This window comes from Homo sapiens, chromosome 4, assembly GCF_000001405.40.
Source record: "Homo sapiens chromosome 4, GRCh38.p14 Primary Assembly".
Lineage (NCBI taxonomy): Eukaryota > Metazoa > Chordata > Mammalia > Primates > Hominidae > Homo > Homo sapiens.
The window spans coordinates 143,432,103-143,452,283 of record NC_000004.12 but is presented as its reverse complement, the minus strand read 5'-3'; the positions used below and the strand labels follow the sequence as shown (position 1 = coordinate 143,452,283).

The window sequence follows — 20,181 nt, the reverse complement described above, 5'->3', positions numbered from 1 at the left end:
AAGGAATCGTCCCCAAGTATGCCAAACAAAACAGCATTGCAGGCCACGCACAGTGGCTACGCCTGTAATCCCAACACTGTGGGAGGCCGAGGCAGGAGGATCACTTGAGCCCAGGAGTTTGAGACCATCCTGGGCAACATAGTGAGAAACCGTCTCTAAAAGAAAAAGAAAGAAAATAGCCTTGCAAACTGCATAAAAACTTCCTGTGCAAACACTGATGTCAAGGCAAAACGTAAAGCTAGTCTTAATGTAGCACCACGATTTCACACAACCCTAAGAAACAGAGCAGCAAAGAGCGGGGTGCTCTTTTAAAATGAAGGCCCTGACGTGCTTCAGACATTCACACCAGAAAATAAAAAATTGTTTGTCTGATTTTTTTTTTTTAAATGAGCACTTCATTTACCTGTTTTGTTTCTCTGAAAGTGATGAACTCGCACTGTATGGCTGTATGAGTTCCGCTTATACTCCAAGTGCCTCAAAACTTCCAAAAATCACTGTTAAGTTCCCCAAGTTGAGGGAGCCAGACAGGGGGACTTTTGCTATGCCTTCCCTGTTTGATCCTGTCTCAACAAAGACTTCAAGAACCCTGGATTTGGAAAACTGGGCAAAGCACTCTCTGAGAAAGAAAAGTGATTTTTATAACATTTTACATTAAAGAATACAATTATTTTCTCTATTGTATTCTTAAATCAGAATGAGCTTTCTAGAGCCATTCTGATTATGCACTCCATACTTATTTCCTTTAAATGGTAACAAATCTAACCCAAAGCTTGACTTAAGATTTAAATATATAAATCTTAAAGTTTATGTGCCTGCATAAAATTCTTTAATGGTACACTCAGAATAAAGTCCAAACTCATTATCATAAATTATAACTCCTTCAGGACCAGGAACCTGCAAGGCATCTGGCATTCGTCCCTCCTTTGGTACTTTCCTCCCTCCTTTTTGCCCGCCCACCTACCTCCCCACGACTCTGGGCCTGTCTCATCTCCCCTCTTTTTAAAGGACCTGGGCATGTTGTTTATTCTAACGAGAAGATCCTTTGCCAGGCTGCCCTCCCCTACCATCATTTAATTGCCACTCACACTCTCAGACTTTCCTCAGGGGAGCTTCCCTAATAGTGCCAAGAGTTTACTTCAACCACAGCCCCTTCCACGGTAATTATGATAATGTGTTTACTTCTCCACATCCCCTCCTAGACGGTGAGCTTCTTCAGGGGTCCTGGACGGTGAGCTTCTTCAGGGGAGCAACCTTTTCCTTGTTTGGAGAATTTATATCCTGTAACTGATAGGTGCTTAAATCTGTGTTGTATGAATGTTAATGAACTGCCTTTCTCTTAAAGCTAGTGGTGTTTAACCTGATCAATCTCACACATTTTTTGTTTTTTTTTTTTGAGATGCAGTCTTGCTCTGTTGCCCAGGCTGGAGTGCAGTAGCATGATCTCAGCTCACTGCAACCTCCAAATCCTAGGTTCAAGCAATTCTCCTGTCTTAGCCTCCCAAGTAGCTGGGATTACAGGCATGCGCCACCACGCCTGGCTAATTTTTTTGTATTTTTACTAGAGACAGGTTTCACCATGTTGGTCAGGCTGGTCTCAAACTCCTGACCTCAGGTGATCTGCCCACCTCGGTCTCCCCAGATGCTGGGATTACAGGCTGAGCCACTGTGCCCAGCCATTTTTGCTTGTCATTTAAATGGAAAAAGGGAAGAACTAAATTCTAAGGGTATTTCAAGTCGGTCATCTCAAATACAGTCAAGGCAGTCATGTGAGGTCACATTTCAATTAAATAGATGTGATCTATTAATGCATTATTCTAATAGGTAACTACTTACATAAATTCCACACAAAGTGGACATTTTATTTTCTGTATTATTACAGGCTTTACAAAGCCTAAATTTTTTTTAAGCCTAAATTTTTTACTCTTCCCAAAGTTTTGCAGATTATGCTACTACTTCCAGTAGGCATCCCCAAAATCAAGAAAGAGTAAAAGTAATTCACATTATCATTTGTTAATTCCAGAAAGTAATGAAGGCAGAAAACTGAAAAATTTTTATAAGTTTTAATGGTCTCATGGTATAAAGAGAAATGTAATAATGATAATTATACTTTGAAGTCAAGAGAATATTGAGAGGAAAAAACCCCACATTAAGGCTCTGCTGTAAAAATGCACTCCATACTTATTTCCTTTAAACGGTAACAAATCTAACGCAAAGCTTGACTTAAGATTTAAACTTTAATACCTGTTTATCAAAATCTAGTTTCATGTACTGGTATTACTCATACATTCTCCAAACACTTATTAGTGTATACATGTAGTTTTTAAAAAGCATGTTAATGATCAAGTAGGCTTTACTCCTAAGGTGCAAAGTGGTTCATGCCAAAATGTAAACACCACCGAGACTAGGAAGAAACTGCATCAACTAATGAGCAAAATAACCAGCTAACATCATAATGACAGGATCATTTTCACACATAACAATATTAACTTTAAATGTAAATGGACTAAATGCTCCAATTGAAAGACACAGACTGGCAAATTGGATAAAGAGTCAAGACCCATCAGTGTGCTGTATTCAGGAAACCCATCTCACATGCAGAGACACACACAGGCTCAAAATAAAAGGATGGAGGAAGATCTACCAAGCAAATGGAAAACAAAAAAAGGCAGGGGTTGCAATCCTAGTCTCAGATAAAACAGACTTTAAACCAACAAAGATCAAAAGAGACAAAGAAGGCCATTACATAATGGTAAAGAGATCAATTCAACAAGAAGAGCTAACTATCCTAAATATATATGCACCCAATACAGGAGCACCCAGATTCATAAAGCAAGTCCTGAGTGACCTACAAAGAGACTTAGACTCCCACACAATAATAATGGGAGACTTTAACACTCCACTGTCAACATTAGACAGATCAACGAGACAGAAAGTTAACAAGGATACCCAGGAATTGAACTCAGCTCTGCACCAAGCGGACCTAATAGACATCTACAGAACTCTCCACCCCAAATCAACAGAATATACTTTTTTTTCAGCACCACACCACACCTATTCCAAAATTGACCACATAGTTGGAAGTAAAGCTCTCCTCAGCAAATGTAAAAGAACAGAAATTATAACAAACTGTCTCTCAGACCACAGTGCAATCAAACTACTACTCAGGATTAAGAAACTCACTCAAAACTGCTCAACTACATGGAAACTGAACAACCTGCTCCTGAATGACTACTGGGTACATAACGAAATGAAGGCAGAAATAAAGATGTTGTTTGAAACCAATGAGAACAAAGACACAGCATACCAGAATCTCTGGGACACATTCAAAGCAGTGTGTAGAGGGAAATTTATAGCACTAAATGCCTACAAGAGAAAGCAGGAAAGATCCAAAATTGACACCCTAACATCACAATTAAAAGAACTAGAAAAGCAAGAGCAAACACATTCAAAAGCTAGCAGAAGGCAAGAAATAACTAAAATCAGAGCAGAACTGAAGGAAATAGAGACACAAAAAACCCTTCAAAAATTAATGAATCCAGGAGCTGGTTTTTTGAAAGGATCAACAAAATTGATAGACTGCTAGAAAGACTAATAAAGAAAAAAAGAGAGAAGAATCAAATAGATGCAATAAAAATGATAAAGGGGATATCACCACCGATCCCACAGAAATACAAACTACCATCAGAGAATACTACAAACACCTCTACGCAAATAAACTAGAAAATCTAGAAGAAATGGATAAATTCCTCGACACATACACTCTCCCAAGACTAAACCAGGAAGAAGTTGAATCTCTGAATAGACCAATAACAGAATCTGAAATTGTGGCAATAATCAATAGCTTACCAACCAAAAAGAGTCCAGGACCAGATGGATTCACAGCTGAATTCTACCAGAGGTACAAGGAAGAACTGGTACCATTCCTTCTGAAACTATTCCAATCAATAGAAAAAGAGGGAATCCTCCCTAACTCATTTTATAAGGCCAGCATCATCCTGATACCAAAGCCGGGCAGAGACACAACCAAAAAAAGAGAATTTTAGATCAATATCCTTGATGAACATTGATGCAAAAATCCTCAATAAAATACTGGCAAACAGAATTCAGCAGCACATCAAAAAGCTTATCCACCATGATCAAGTGGGCTTCATCCCTGGGATGCAAGGCTGGTTCAATATATGCAAATCAATAAATGTAATCCAGCATATAAAGACAGAACCAAAGACAAAAACTACATGATTATCTCAATAGATGCAGAAAAGGCCTTTGACAAAATTCAATAATGCTTCATGCTAAAAACTCTCAATAAATTAGGTATTGATGGGATGTATCTCAAAATAGTAACAGCTATCTATGACAAACCCACAGCCAATATCATACTGAATGGGCAAAAATTGGAAGCATTCCCTTTGAAAACTGGCACAAGACAGGGATGCCCTCTCTCACCACTCCTATTCAACATAGTGTTGGAAGTTCTGGCCAGGGCAATTAGGCAGGAGAAGGAAATAAAGGGTATTCAATTAGGAAAAGAGGAAGTCAAATTGTCCCTGTTTGCAGATGACATGATTGTATATCTAGAAAACCCCATTGTCTCAGCTCAAAATCTCCTTAAGCTGATAAGCAACTTCAGCAAAGTCTCAGGACACAAAATCAATCTACAAAAATCACAAGCATTCTTATACACCAATAACAGAGAGCCAAATCATGAGTGAACTCCCATTCACAATTGCTTCAAAGACAATAAAATACTTAGGAATCCAACTTACAAGGGATGTGAAGGACCTCTTCAAGGAGAACTACAAACCACTGCTCAAAGAAATAAAAGAGGATACAAACAAATGGAAGAACATTCCATGCTCATCGGTAGGAAGAATCAATATCGTGAAAACAGCCATACTGCCCAAGGTAATTTATAGATTCAATGCCATCCCCATCAATCTACCAATGACTTTCTTCACAGAATTGGAAAAAACTACTTTAAAGTTCATATAGAACCAAAAAAGAGCCCGCATCGCCAAGTCAATCCTAAGCCAAAAGAACAAAGCTGGAGGCATCACACTACCTGACTTCTAACTATACTACAAGGCTACAGTAACCAAAACAGCATGGTACTGGTACCAAAACAGAGATATAGATCAATGGAACAGAACAGAGCCCTCAGAAATAACGCCGCATATCTACAACTATCTGATCTTTGACAAACCTGAGAAAAACAAGAAATGGGGAAAGGATTCCCCATTTAATAAATGGTGCTGGGAAAACTGGCTAGCCACATGTAGAAAGCTGAAACTGGATCCCTTCCTTACACCTTATACAAAAATTAATTCAAGATGGATTAAAGACTTAAACGTTAGACCTAAAACCATAAAAACCCTAGAAGAAAACCTAGGCATTACCATTCAGGACATAGGCATGGGCAAGGACTTCATGTCTAAAACACCAAAAGCAATGGCAACAAAAGCCAAAATTGACAAATGGGATCTAATTAAACTAAAGAGCTTCTGCACAGCAAAAGAAACTACCATCAGAGTGAACAGGCAACTTACAAAATGGGAGAAAATTTTCGCAACCTACTCATCTGGCAAAGGGCTAATATCCAGAATCTACAATGAACTCAAACAAATTTACAAGAAAGAAGCAAACAACCCCATCAAAAAGTGGGCAAAGGATATGAACAGACACTTCTCAAAAGAAGACATTTATGCAGCCAGAAGACACATGAAAAAATGCTCATCATCACTGGCCATCAGAGAAATGCAAATCAAAACCACAATGAGATACCATCTCACACCAGTTAGAATGGCAATCATTAAAAAGTCAGGAAACAACAGGTGCTGGAGAGGATGTGGAGAAATAGGAACACTTTTACACTGTTGGTGGGACTGTAAACTAGTTCAACCATTGTGGAAATCAGTGTGGCGATTCCTCAGGGATCTGGAACTAGCAATACCATTTGACCCAGCCATCCCATTACTGGGTATATACCCAAAGGACTATAAATCATGCTGCTATAAAGACACATGCACACGTATGTTTATTGCAGCACTATTCACAATAGCAAAGACTTGGAACCAACCTAAATGTCCAACAATGATAGACTGGATTAAGAAAATGTGGCACATATACACCATGGAATACTATGCAGCCATAAAAAATGATGAGTTCATGTCCTTTGTAGGGACATGGATGAAATTGGAAATCATCATTCTCAGTAAACTATCGCAAGGACAAAAAACCAAACACTGCATGTTCTCACTCATAGATGGGAATTGAACAATGAGAACAGATGGACACAGGAAGGGGAACATCACACTCTGGGGACTGTTGTGGGGTGGGGGGAAGGTAGAAGGATAGCATTAGGAGATATACCTAATGTTAAATGACGAGTTAATGGGTGCAGCACACCAGCATGGCACATGTATACATATGTAACTAACCTGCACATTGTGCACATGTACCCTAAAACTTAAAGTATAATTAAAAACAAACAAACAAAAAAACAAATCAATAAATGTGATTCACCATGTAAACAATTAAAAACAAAAAACATATGATCATCTCAATAGACCTGGAAAAAGCTTTCGATAAAATCCAATGTCTCCTCCTGATAATAACCCTCAAGAAACTAGGCATTATGACCAAGTCTTCAAAAGCAATTGCAACAAACCGGAAATTGAGAAGTGGGACCTAATTAAACTAAACAGGTTTTGCACAGCAAAAGAAACTATCAACAGAGTAAACAGTCAACCTACAGAATGGGAGAAAATATGCACAAACTATGCATCTGAGAAAGAGGTAATATCCAGAATCCACAAGAAACTCAAATCAACAAGCAAAAAACAAGTAACCCCATTAAAAAATGGGTAAAAGACATGAACTGATACTTCTAGAAATGAGACATACAAGTGGCCAACAAATGTATGAAAAAATACTCCATCACTAATCATCAGAGAAATGCAAATCAAAACTACAATGAGATATCATCTCACACTAGTCAAAACAGCTATTACTAAAAAGTCAAAAAACAACAGATGCTGGTGAGGCTGTGAAGAAAAGGGAATGCTTATATACTGCTGGTGGGAATGTAAAATTAGTTCAGCCACTGTGGAAAGCAGTTTGGAGACTTCTCAAAGAACTTAAAACAGAACTACCATTAAACCTAGCAATTCCATTACTGGGTATATATCCAAAAGAAAACAAATCTTTCTACCAAAAAGACACACGAACTCGCATGTTCACTGCAGCAGTGTTTACAATAGCAAAGACATGGAATCAACCTAGGTGCCCATCAACAGTGGACTGGATCAAGAAAATGTGGTACATATACTACACAGCCATAAAAAGAATGAAATCATTTCCTTTGCAGCAACACAGATGCAGGTGGAGGCCATTATCCTAAGGAAATAAACGCAGGAACAGAAAACCAAATATCACATGTTCTCACTTACAAGTGAGAGCTAAACATGGACATAAAGATGGCAACAACAGACACTGGGTACTACCAGAGAGGGGAAGGAGGCAGGTGGAAAGGGTTGAAAAACTAACGATTGGGTGCTATGTTCAGTTCCTGAGTGACAGGATCATTCATACCCTAAATCTCAGCATCGCACAATATACACAGGTAACAAACCTGCACATGCACCCCCCTAAAACTAAAATAAAAATTGAAATACAAAAGAATAAAAATTTTAAAAAGTGCATGTTAATTTTTAATCACATTCAGAAACTTTAAAAGATCTCTTGAAAAAATGTTTAGAGCAAATCCATCACTGTGCCAAAAGAGTCACCCAGGGAAACTCTCAGGATTAGTCTTCTGTATGCTCCCCACACAATATTAAGGATCTAAGCTTGAAGGTACTTTAACCAAAGTGGTGTATAAAAACACCATACAAAACCTTGCACTGGCTTAACAAAAAAAAGTCAGTATAGTAACTAATGTTCAGACTGTTGCAGAAAGGCGTGAATGGACAAGGCCAAACATAACAACATAAAGACAGCATGTGGGGCTCACACAGCTGCTGCATCATGCTAGACAGAGACTAGACAGAGATGGGGGCCTTAGATAAGTTTAGCGATTTAATATACTAGATTTATGTCATGACATAAAGAGAAGCTATAACAGATAAATTTCCCAAACTTTACAAAACTCCCTTTCCATCAGAAATATAAAATTTTCAATTGAAGAGGTCAAAATATAATTTGTCCTGTATTTCCAGTGACTCATCTGCTTTCCCAATATTTAATACAGTATGCTTAAAATACGTTTCTCTTAATACACACAAAACTTGGCTCAAAACAAACACTACAGTGACAGAAATAGTATGATGAAAATATCACTATCATGAATTGAGTGACAGGCAAAGGGTCTAAGATAATTATGTTTAAGTGTTCAGAACATCTATGTATTTCTGCAGTTTCAATTACTCATAAGTATTTGAAAAGCTCATCTGTATGCAAACTACAGCAGCTGACATCTATAATTGGGGCTATAAACAAGACTAGAATGTTACTGGTTTCTTATAGATCCTTCCAAAGACAATCTCAAAAACCAGACATATAGGGCAATGAACTAGTTATATGGAGCTCTGAAACTAATCAAGCCATATTTTATAGAATTAGATTTGCTTATAATGAGTTTTATATAAGAGATACTGAATAATAGATTAAGTCATTTATCTGATGTCATGAAATTTGAAATTAAAATAGATTCATCTGATGCTATGAATACTGAGAAAAATTATAGGACCAAACGAGACATTATTTTTGTTTAAGTGTTTGTGGATAAACTTTGCTTTGAGATCTGAATTTGGATTTTAAAATGTGTTTTTCTTGAAGTTATAACTTTGTAAAGTGAGTTTATGAAGTCATAACTTTGTAAAGTGAGTTTACAAAGTCTGCCTTGTAATGTTAAATACATTCTCAAGCCTCCTCTCCTGTATCATAACTATTTAAAAAGTAGAATAGTACAGGCCGGGCACAGTGGCTCACGCCTGTAATCCCAGCACTTTGGAAGGCCGAGGCAGGTAGATCCCGAGGTCAGGAGGTCGAGACCATCCTGGCTAACACGGTGAAACCCCGTCTCTACTAAAAATACAAAAAATTAGCTGGGCGTGGTGGCAGGTGCCTGTAGTCCCAGCTACTCGGGAAGCTGAGGCAGGAGAATGGCGTGAACCCCAGAGGCGGAGCTTGCAGTGAGCCGAGATCGCGCCACTGCACTCCAGCCTGGGCAACAGAGCGAGACTCTGTCTCAAAAAAAAAAAAAAAAAAAAGTAAAATAGTACTAAAGAAAAGTAAATTTTTTTTGAATACTATGACTTCAGGAACCTCTTTACTGTTTTGCTAAGTCTATTCTTGATTCTGGCAAAAACTATATGGGTATTTCAATCTGGGTGCTCTTTTTAAGTTCATTTTGTATCTAAGCAAATATGCCAAATAAATAATGTGGCCAACGAACTCACAATTGTCTCTGAACAGTTCAGTTAAATTTTAAAAGAATGAACACAATCTCCAGAAATAAGAACCTACTTTATTCTGTTCTATTAAGTTCTTTTACGTTAAAGAACTAGTGTGATTAGTCTCTAGTGTACTAGAATAATAGTACTTTCACTAAATACATAGGGATGTATAATTATAAAATATGTAGTATACATGATACATAGTATATATTCTGATATATACATAAAATATATATCATAATAATGTGGGATACATGAGTGATATCAGACCTAGAGGATACTAAAAGCTAATCATTAATTGATCTTAGGTCTTTTCTAACTTATAAACAGTGGTGTTTCCTGATTTCATATTATGCTTACCACATGGAATCACAACTGTTGAAATATACTGGAGTTTTCAAACTGTGCTCTACAGAGCTCAAGGGGAGAAAAGAGCAGCAGAGGAGCAAGGGAGGTAGGACTTAAAAGCTTTGTAACCTCACCCAAATCTTACTCCCTCCACATTTATGCGAGACCTCAAAATATAAAACTGTTAGGTTTGGAGTTAAAAAGTAGAGATCTGCCACTAACATGCACTCGTTACTGGAAAATAAGGAAAGCACCAGTTTAACATTAAAAAAGATATTTCAATATTTCAAAGAGTTCATGACACTTATATCTCAATCCTTCAGTGATCTGTATGAACCAATTATAAAGCTATACATGTCCAAACATATTTTTGCATATTATATGCAAAGAAAATGACTAGTAGTTGTCTAAAATAGATTTAGAGACAAAGAAAAAGGAAACAAAAGGAAGCATTATCCGATAGAAAGCCTCTGATGCTCACATCCTTTCTGAGATCCACACCGCAATCACAGCCCTGCTGCCAGGGCAGACTGGGTCGTCGTGGGTGTGACACACATAGACCAATCACATCATCTCTAAGCAATCTAAAGTGAGTAAATAATAAGTAAGGCAATGAGAAGCTGATGCAGAAGCTGCAAGGGCACATAAAAAGCAGCTAGGAGGCAGAACTGAGGCCATAGAAGGGGAGCATTGGAGGCCAAAGCTCTTGGAAAGCAGAATCCATTTAAGTAGAGGATACAGAGTAAGAAAACAAAAAAGAATCAGAAAAGAAAACAGAAAAGAAGGGAAGAATGTGAAAGAGAACAAACCAGATGCAAAGATTTCCCATAAAACAGAAATGCACAGAGAGAGCAGGACACAGCAACAGTCCCCTAGAATTGCTTCAGTTCCTGATAACCTCCTTGTTGAAGGAGGTTAACCTCCTGTTGAAACGAGGAGGTTATCCTTACTTACAAACAAAACCAAATCTTTTTTCTTAAGATAGTCTGAGCCTCAGTCTCTTTTCCTCACAACTAGGACTTAATTAGAACTAATATTAATGATCTAAGCCCAGGTTAAGGAGAAATTGATGCCAACATTATGTGGTCTTAAAAAGCTACATATAGCACATGAGACTTTTCAAATGTGCTGAAACACCCTAATGTAAGCCAGATATTGTATCATTCATCACATTTACATTTATGCTAATTTACTTGGTTGTCAAGATTAAGCCACACTAACAGCATGGTGCAACAAATCAAATTGTCTGTGTTTTAACAACTTAAACCCCAATTTAAAAAACCTGGGTAGGCATTACCCAATTTGGCTGAACAGTTTCTTTTACAGACTTCTTAACAAACTATGTTACCTTAGAACTTAATGTTACTTATGAAGGCCAGCATGGAAAAAAAAATGACAGACTAGAAGCATGTATTACCCCAGCAAAGGCAAAGTAATTTTTAAGAAGTTGTTATATGAACAGAATGGAAAGATTATACAGTCTCACTGTTCTTAAATAATTATGTCAAATACATTAATAATCTTAAGTCTGATTTGATATTATATACTCTGGAGAAGAGGTTACTAAATAGCAGCTGAAGGCCATTATCTAGCTTGCAGAAGTGTTTGGGTTGGCCTGCAATGTTTTCTTAATAATTAAATTAGTTGATAGAACTTTAAAAATTGAGAGATAATACATATAAAATCTGAAATCTCTGGCTTTTCCTGATATACCAGAAGATTTGCCTGCATGGGTGCATCATTTCACAAGTCAACAAAGGATTGTAGCAGTGTAGGTTAGTTACTCCCATTAGATGGGGCTACGGCAGTCCAGTTTCTTCTAATTCTCCCCAGTTGTCCGCTCACCCCGTGAGTATTTCAGCTTGTAACCTCTGCTCTAGAGATAGGAGACTTATAAATATCACCTCACATCAACATGTGATATCATAATTGTTAATTTATAAATGGCAGTACTGCTTTGCTTAAATAACTTGATGGCTATGGAACTATGAAATATTTCAGAATTTCTAGTCCAAATTCTATTTTGGATTTAATGGCAGTTAAAGATAGATCTAACTTGGCACTCCCCAAGCCTTTTACTTTGCCATGCTCTCCTTACCTTTTCTGTCTGGCTTGAGGTTCCTATCCACGGGGGGTGGTTCACAGTCTGCAACAGGAACTGGCCTTCTGGGAGGGGTTTTTGGGCTGGACCTGAAGCCCATATGAGCAGGAGGAGGAACTTGCATTCCAAATGAGGAAAAATCAAATGTTCCTGGAGTCATTGGCACATAATTTGCTTCCTGAATTGGTTCTGTAAAACTGCTGGAATGTTGTCGTGGTGGTGAATTGGGATTCATTGGGACGTAATTTTCATCCAGTTCTTCACTTGAAACACTTCCCACTGTCAACACATTTTTGACTTTCTAAAACACATATATATTTCTTTTAATAAACAAAAACTCTTGTCACACATGAAAACACAATTGTAAGTCACACTCATTCATATGGATCTCAGCGTACTTTTATTTCATGATATCACTTAGTCTCATGGCACTAATTATGAAGATTTAGACAATGAAATACACTTGATGATGCCAAGGTCAATTATACTTACAAAGTGGTTATGGAAGCCTTCAAGTGAACTAGATCTATCACTTGGAAATGCTCGTGGAATATCATAGCAGTCTTGAGAACTAGCATCTAAAATAAAGAACAAACTATCAACATTTATTCCCATCTTTGCCAGCTCTCAGGGTCATTGGGATGACCTATTATCTTTCTCTCATTATACATATGCATACACACATGCACACACACAGAATTTTAAAAAGGATGCTCATAGAACTGTGTCTTGAATTGGCATATTAAACCACTAGAAAATGCAGACACTCACTCATATGCTAACCAATACCAATATCTAATTTTGAGTGTGAGTGAATGTCTAAGTCTGGGATAAGATAGGTTATCTAAAGATGAAGAGAAACACCTCTATTTTCTCATCGTTTGCACCACCTTGGGCATAACTTACATCTCACTAACTGATAACCAGGTTATACAGTCACTTCAAGAAAGGAGTTAGATACTGTTATTGAATGGTGAAATAAGTACTGATTTAAGTAATAATCACAGATACATTAAAATCTTGGAGATAGCTGAGGAAAACTCTACCACAAAATACAGAAATTTTAGCACATACTGTTTAGGATATGTGCATTAAAAACTTTAGCTTTCTATTTGTAGGACTTTGAGAATCTCAGAGAATCACCCAGACTCATTTTTTTCTTCTCCTCTCAAGGTCTGTAACTTTTGGATACAGACTCTAGGAGACAGTATAGGAAAGTATACTCACTAGCAATGAGTGAAGTGGGTAGTGATAAGGGGAAAGAAGATTCAGCTCTTTAAACACAAGTAAAAATCAAACAGCATAATGGCTTGACTGGAACAGAATATCACCTGTTAGACACAACATAAAAACTGCTTATATAGGAAGGAAGGAAATAGAGCCCAACAGATGTGACTTAGAAGCGGCCATAATGGCACACAAATACAGGAAAGGGTATGACTCGGAGAGGCTTTGTGGCTGGTCCATTTCCTGCCCTTCTGTCCCAACAGAGGGCCTATCCACCCAGGATTATAGAAAGTGGGAGAGAGAAGGGCACACTTCCTGAGGCAGGAAGGCATTACTAAGGCCATACTTCTTCAGGGGTGAGAAACTCCAACTCTTTTTCCCTTCCAGCAGAGCATGAATGCAATATACCCTTCCAGGTAGCTGTAGAGCTGGAAAAAAATGGACTGTATTTTGTAGCATAGTATATTTAACTACGCTTAAAAGAACAAATATTCAGAAAAATCGATTTTCTATCATTAACCTCTAATAGAGAAGAAGTCAACTAGAGCTGACCTTTTCGCAATTTGTTTAAATCCACAGTGGAAATGGTATTACTACGTGAAGGCGACATCCCTGCTGTAGGGATACAGTAACTACTGTCAGTGTCTGAGGCGGTGCGTGGGATACTACACGTTTCCACAGGAGATCGGTCATGAGCTGGATGTGGTTTCGGTGGCCGAGGTGGAGGAATATCTGGAATAGTGTCTAGCTTTGATGTCTGTCCCAAGGTTCCTTCTGGAAATGTTCGTGGAATCTGATAAGTATTACCAGGTGTTGGAGGAATGTCATAACTAATAGATACATGCCTCATTTGAGTCTCTACACTCGATGTCCCAGATGGGGTATTAAAAACATAGAGTTCTCCATCTGCTTCAGTACTTGATGGAGACACCTTTGGTAAAACATCATGGGAATAACTCCTGGGCAGGTTATAAAGGCTGGAGTCAACTGAAGCAGATGGGGCACGTGAAGGTGGAGAGTCGTATATCATTTGCTGCTGAAAAAAGCCATTCATTCCATGTTTGCTCTGGGAGGAAGCAGGATTTTTATGAGAAGGGACGTTATCATTGCAGTCTGTTTCAGAAGAGGTGGATTTTGCAGAATCAGCATGCGTTCTAAATAAAAATTGTTAATGACAGAATAAACAAGGTGGAGACTAAGAATACATTTTTTATAAACATGTTTATCGCTAAGCAATCAAAAGATAGGGCTTTTCTCATTAGATTTTTTGTGTGATCCATAGGATTTAAAGCACAAATGTTCTTTAGCCTTTATGATTATACATCAGACAACAAAACCGCCACCACAAAACCAAGAAAAGCATTCTCTCTAATTCTGTCCTATATCTGCCCACACCCCCAACTCCACCTATTAAATCTGCACATAAAAACACAATCCCTGAAGCACTGGAATTAAACATTACAAAACTCTGGGAAAGGTAAATGATTAATGCATAGACACAAGGAAAAGCATTTCCTCTGAAGAGCATGCAAAAACCTAGTGCTAGTACAGTTTATATAGTTGATCCATTGGTCTTAAACCTCCCCACGGCAAATTTGTTGTTCCGTAAAATTAAAAGTCTAATGATTACTTGGTATTGAATAAGGTCAATGTGACTTACAAGAAGGTAACATCTAATTGTTTTCATATATCTTCCTTTCCACTACTTTTCTTTAACAAACATTTAGCCAACATTATAAAGAGGATCGAAATACGTGATACAGAGTTAACCAACTCCAAACAATAACTCACTTTGAGAAATCTCATTAAAGTACATTTATGAACATTTTCGGTCTCTGCATTTTGAGGTATCACAAAATTTGGGTATACGACAAGATGAAGCTAACAACACAAGCACACTCTCACTTCCTTAATGCTAAACAAGATACCTGAACTACTTCTGCATGTTGTCCAAAGTCCTGTAGGAATTTAAACAATATTTCTTTAAATAACTATGATTTTTTTTTAAAGGGCTTACCTTCCCTGACTTCTTAGTAACATGTGGCACTACGCTCTGTAAAGTCTCCCCCTTTACTATCAGAAAACCCACATTGTGCCACATTGTGCTTTTGTTTTCTCCATCTTAAAAAGATCTTAAAACCCTTCTCCCTTGCTGATTATTTCCTTGTTTCACTTACTGGCTCCTTCCTCCCGTCTCTCTCCCTGGGAATGGCCAACAGAGTTCAGTCCTCTAACCTTTTACCATACACGCTATTAGAGATCATCCTCCTTTTTCAGAACTTCATTTTCTTCTCTGAATGCTGACAACTTCCATCATCTTACCAAATTCCAAGTCCCATATTCTCAAACTAATATTTCTACTTGGTTACTCCAGTATTACCTTGCTTGTGGGCCTCAAATAGAAATCCATTTACTTCTTAAGTTGACTGCTTTTCCTGGCTTGCATTGAAAGAAATGACTTTATCCAGATTCTCCAGGCTTAAAACTCAATCAGCTTGATTCCTTCTCTTTGATTTCCAGTCACGCAGGCACCGAGCCCTTCTTCTTAGCCGCGTACTTATTCCCTTGTTCTATTCCCATTGCCACCATCCCAAGTTCAGGTCCCCATCCCTGCTGAGATCTACATGACTGAACTCTCCTTAGTGGAATTTCCTCTACTGTCTGCCTCTTTCAATCTATTCATGGGACCAGACTTCTATAAGATCAATATTTTCAAAACACAGTTGTTATACCACTCATGTATTCAAGAGAAAAACCTAGTAAGGGCCCCTACAGGGTGTGGGAACTATAAGGCCTCACACTAATCCACTTGACATTGAGGTTACTAATAACCTGGCTCCACCTTCTCCATCCTATTCTTCAAGAGGCTCTCCTCCTCATTATCTTCCTCCCACCATGCTTGCTCACATCTCTCCTTTCCCTCAAGCTATTTTTGCACAAATTACTAATGATTTTCTTCTCTCACCAACTAGGTGTAGTTCACATTCCATTCTTCCTATGAAGCTTTTGTTTTCTCCATCTTAAAAACACTTGCACTGTCCCTTTGTGGAATTTCTAATGCACCTATGCATATTCTAAAATTTGTACTTCATTTAATTCAAATGCAGAGTTAAGAGAAGCTAGAGGAATTATGAGTAATAAGTAAAGCTCCTTGCTCTGACTAGCTTACAGTTAGTGAAGAGTAAGTAAAAACATCGTTTCTAACACTGCGATAAAACAAGATATGAAGGCATAACCAGGATGCTATAAAAACCCAGAAAGATATTTAAGCTAACTTGGGAGTTTGAGAGGAATGCTTCCTAGAGGAGCACATTCTAACTAAAGTCTTGCAGAACAAACAAGAGTTTGCAAGGCAACTCTGGTATATTATCTTCATCTCTAAATATTTAATGCTTGCATGTTTTCACTTCTTAGCAACTCTTACTTGTAAACTCCAAAGGTGACTATATCTGAGTAGACTATATCTTATATAGTTTGTACCTTCATAGCACCTAGCATAATATTGGGCACATAGTGGTTACCTCATAAATATTTGCTATTTAACTGTCACTTTTGCAAAATATAGATAGCAAAATACATCTGGGTGATGATTTTGAGCATAAGTTGTACTGCAAGAGGAAAGCTGTGATACCAGTGAAATCAATGAAATACACTATATAAAAATAAAATATACTGAGAACTGTCGCTTGGCTGTTGGCTTCTAAAAAGTTGCTAATGAAAAATAATTGTAAACTTTTGTAAAATAAAATATTAGTTAGTAGCATAGGTAACAAAGTTGCCAGTGTATAATTTTAGATACTCACAGCAAACAAGCAAAATCAAGTTAGAATTTGATATTAACAAATGTTGATTTATAAATTTTTTTCTGCTCTTACAGGTAAAATCCCATTACAACAAATACATAGAAATCCAGCTTTGGAATGAATATGAGCTATTTCCATCATCTCAGGGCATGGTTCACAGAAACTATTTCGTGAATCTTAACATATTCTACATTAAAATTTTTGAACAAGTGCTTTGTCTGATCCTAGCCCAGTAATAATCATTTTCCACATTAAAAAAAAATCTGTCATAAAATAATGCTTAATTATAATCTTGTTTAAAAAAACATTTTTCATGTCTATAAAGAAATATACTCTCTATCCAGACCCTAGCTGATTAATACATAAATAAAATGTACTCAGTTGACTGGTATCACTAATTGTCACATAGCTACTAATGGCAGAGATTGGCCTCTCAATCATCATTTTTCTGCTCCTTTTAAAAATAGTAAAACAACTGCTTCTTGACTCTTTATTGCCTTAACTCTTCTAACTATTCAACATCAAGTAACAAGGAGGATCCAATTAAAATGCCTTATAGCTTAGAAGAGGAAAGGGGTGTGGGGGCAGGGAAGGAGATGGTAGAGAAACCAAGAATTTGGGACAGGCTTGATGATTCATTCCTTCAGTCAAGTGCTGCACTCCATATACTTCTACTTAAAAATTTGTAAAGGGAGGCCAAGCGCAGTGGCTCACACCTGCAATCCCAGTGCTTTAGGAGGCTGAGGTGAGAGAACTGTTTGAGGCCAGGAGTTTGAGATCAGCCTAGGCAACATAGTGAGACCTCGTCACTACAAAGAAAAAATTAGCCAGCCAGCATACAGATGGCATGCACCTGAAGTCCTAGCTACCTGGGGGCTGAGGCAGAAGGAATACTTGAGCCCAGGAGTTTGGGGTTACAGTGAGCTATGAGTGAGCCATGGGCAACAGAGCAAGCCCTTGTCTCCTAAAAAAAAAAAAAAAAAGATAAATAAAAAGGCTTAGGGTAAGCTCTGCTTCATTGCTAGATATGAAGACTAAAAGTTTCGTAATTTTTAGGAATATATTTATTTGATCAAATTTCACTAACATCCAATTTGTATATTCCATGGAATTTGCTATATTGGGATTTTACCTTATGATTAATTTCTCACACAGATCCAAAACCACCACAACACACTCACTGCAATGGAATCGTTTTGCTTTCAAAATCTTCTAGTAGAAGGTATTCCTCTCCTTCTTCAGAAACAAAAGATGACCCTTGGCTGGTTTACAATCACATAAGAAATGGAGCAAGATCACCATTTATAAATCAGTGAAATCTGTTAAGCAAGTAATACTGTGAGTCTGTAACAAAGACTACAAAATAGGAGACAGATTTCCAAAAGAGCCTTGTAGGGAAAACTGCTCTTTGCCAAAGATGGCAGAGATTGTGTCTCTTCGATACAATCTCCTGAATATCGGAAATCAATAGGGGAATGTAAACCTGAAATATAAAGCCTGAAACATATGCCTATACAGATGGTCTCTTTCAAGCCTGCAAATCGAAATTTAAAAAGTTTAAAGGTAAGAATCTCAGTGTGTACACACATACACACGCCTCTGTCTCTCTCTCACATGGGCATATATAATTTACCTGGTGGGTTCGGGCTTCTTGCTTTGACAGTTGATGAGCAACAGGTAGTCTTGAGGATCCTCCTGAATGCCAAGAGTTTCCAGGTGTGGTGGAACATTGATTAGCTGATATGGAGGAGGTAGAGTAGCAGAGGATGAATCTGCCTGGGTGGATGGTGGTGCTGTATTTATAGCTAAAGGTAAATCAGCTGGTGCTTGTAAAGAGCTGCCAGGTGGCTTCACAGGATCTGCAACACCAAAGTTTAACTATCACGTCTATCACAGTTAAACAATTTTTGGAAAAACAAAGCTACTTTGGAGACAAATTGTTTCAACACACAAAAACAGAATAAATCATGACAATGTCAGCTAAAACAAACACTATCTAAATGGCGACCTTTATACAGGAAGTATTTTTTTATTCTTGTCAAAGAGATCTAAAGAGTAGGACTCTATATATATTCCAGATCCTCTAAAAAAGCCATGGCTAACCTTTGCTTGAACAGTCTTCAGTTTTGAGGCTATGAGAAGGAAGCTGTTCTACAACCTTAGCAGAAGAGAAAGATACTTTAAAACTCCATGATAATGAAGTGCTTCCTAAGCCAACCCAACCTTCCAAGGAGACCCATTTAATTACATAGTATTTACCAGGCCTGTGGTCCTGTGAGTACCAGGGCCAGCTCTTTACCCTGTTTATTTCGATGATCGTTCTTTTCTTTCTACCTCTTAGCAGACTACAGAGAAATACTTCTAATTCTGGGACTGGTGAAAATAAAGTCTATTCATGTTCAAGGAAACAGCTTCTTTAAGGCATCACCTCTTCCCTCAGCTCATAACTTTATTTGCCATTTAGTGGATTTTTGTAGTATTTTCATGGAAAGAGGTCCAGCAAGTAAATAAGTAATTTATTATTCCCTTAACTATGTTCTGAGAGAAATATGAAAAGAGCTAAATTGTGCAGAATGAAGCAATTTGAAAACCATGTGAAATTCTAGAATAAAATCCCGCTGTAGTCACTGACATAACCAAGTATATTAAAGGCTCAGAAAAAATGCTGTTAGTCTGTTTAGGAATAGAAGGCCATAAATAATGCAGAAAAAGGCAAATGCTCATACATGAATAAATTTGTTCTTAAAATTTGTTATTATAGAACAGAAAAAGCTGGGTTGAAACTGAAGTCTCTTCAGTTCCCACGTGGTGGCCTTGTATTCAATCTGTTAGAAAGACCCCATCTCGCTTTGCTGGAAGTTTATTTTTCTTCTTTTCCCTTTTTGCCCAATAAATTCTGTTTCCCTCAAAGTGTCCTTCAATGTGTTCCTAATCCTTCCTGGTCACGTGACAAAACCCAGTTTTAGCTGAACTAAGGAACAAAATTCTGCATCATTTTTGGTGCCCGAATGTGGGGCATGAGAAAGGGTAAGATGCAAACCAAAAAATCTTTTTACCTTTCATTTCTAAGCCTTTTTGTCTTCAGATTTCTTCTGAGGTTAGAGGGAATTATGCCTCCCCACAACTCCCGTCACTCCCAGGGATCAGGAATGTTGGCCTTTTCCTTCTTTTTTCGAGTTAGACAGCAGTGGCTAAGGCCAAAAGGCCCTGCGCAGTGGGCTGGCCAGCATTCCCCACCATGTCTCTC

General features: G+C 37.8%; 1 protein-coding gene across 16 annotated transcripts in view, besides 1 other annotated feature; it reads right to left on the bottom strand.

Annotated features, from left to right (window-relative positions):
- GAB1 (GRB2 associated binding protein 1) overlaps positions 1-20,181 on the bottom strand; it is a 137,690-nt gene that overhangs the window by 22,282 nt on the left and 95,227 nt on the right. For 10 of the 16 annotated variants that reach the window (XM_047449969.1, XM_017007969.2, XM_017007970.2 and 7 more), the window contains 5 exons: positions 18,568-18,793; positions 18,116-18,196; positions 13,684-14,285; positions 12,397-12,482; positions 11,902-12,205 (listed from right to left, as the gene is read on the bottom strand). In XM_047449969.1, the coding sequence (XP_047305925.1) occupies positions 11,902-12,205; positions 12,397-12,482; positions 13,684-14,285; positions 18,116-18,196; positions 18,568-18,793 (1,299 nt within the window). The remainder of the gene's footprint in view (positions 1-11,901; positions 12,206-12,396; positions 12,483-13,683; positions 14,286-18,115; positions 18,197-18,567; positions 18,794-20,181) is intronic. The other 6 variants (NM_207123.3, NM_002039.4, XM_047449972.1 and 3 more) reach the window with 1 other exon arrangement.
- Positions 13,404-14,603: an enhancer, noted in NCBI's record as "MED14-independent group 3 enhancer chr4:144358834-144360033 (GRCh37/hg19 assembly coordinates)". NCBI's record gives its function as "activates an origin of replication core promoter dependent on BRD2, BRD4, P300/CBP and CDK7 cofactors, and independent of MED14, by STARR-seq in HCT116 cells {active_cell/tissue: HCT116}" and the evidence as "EXISTENCE:reporter gene assay evidence [ECO:0000049][PMID:35650434]".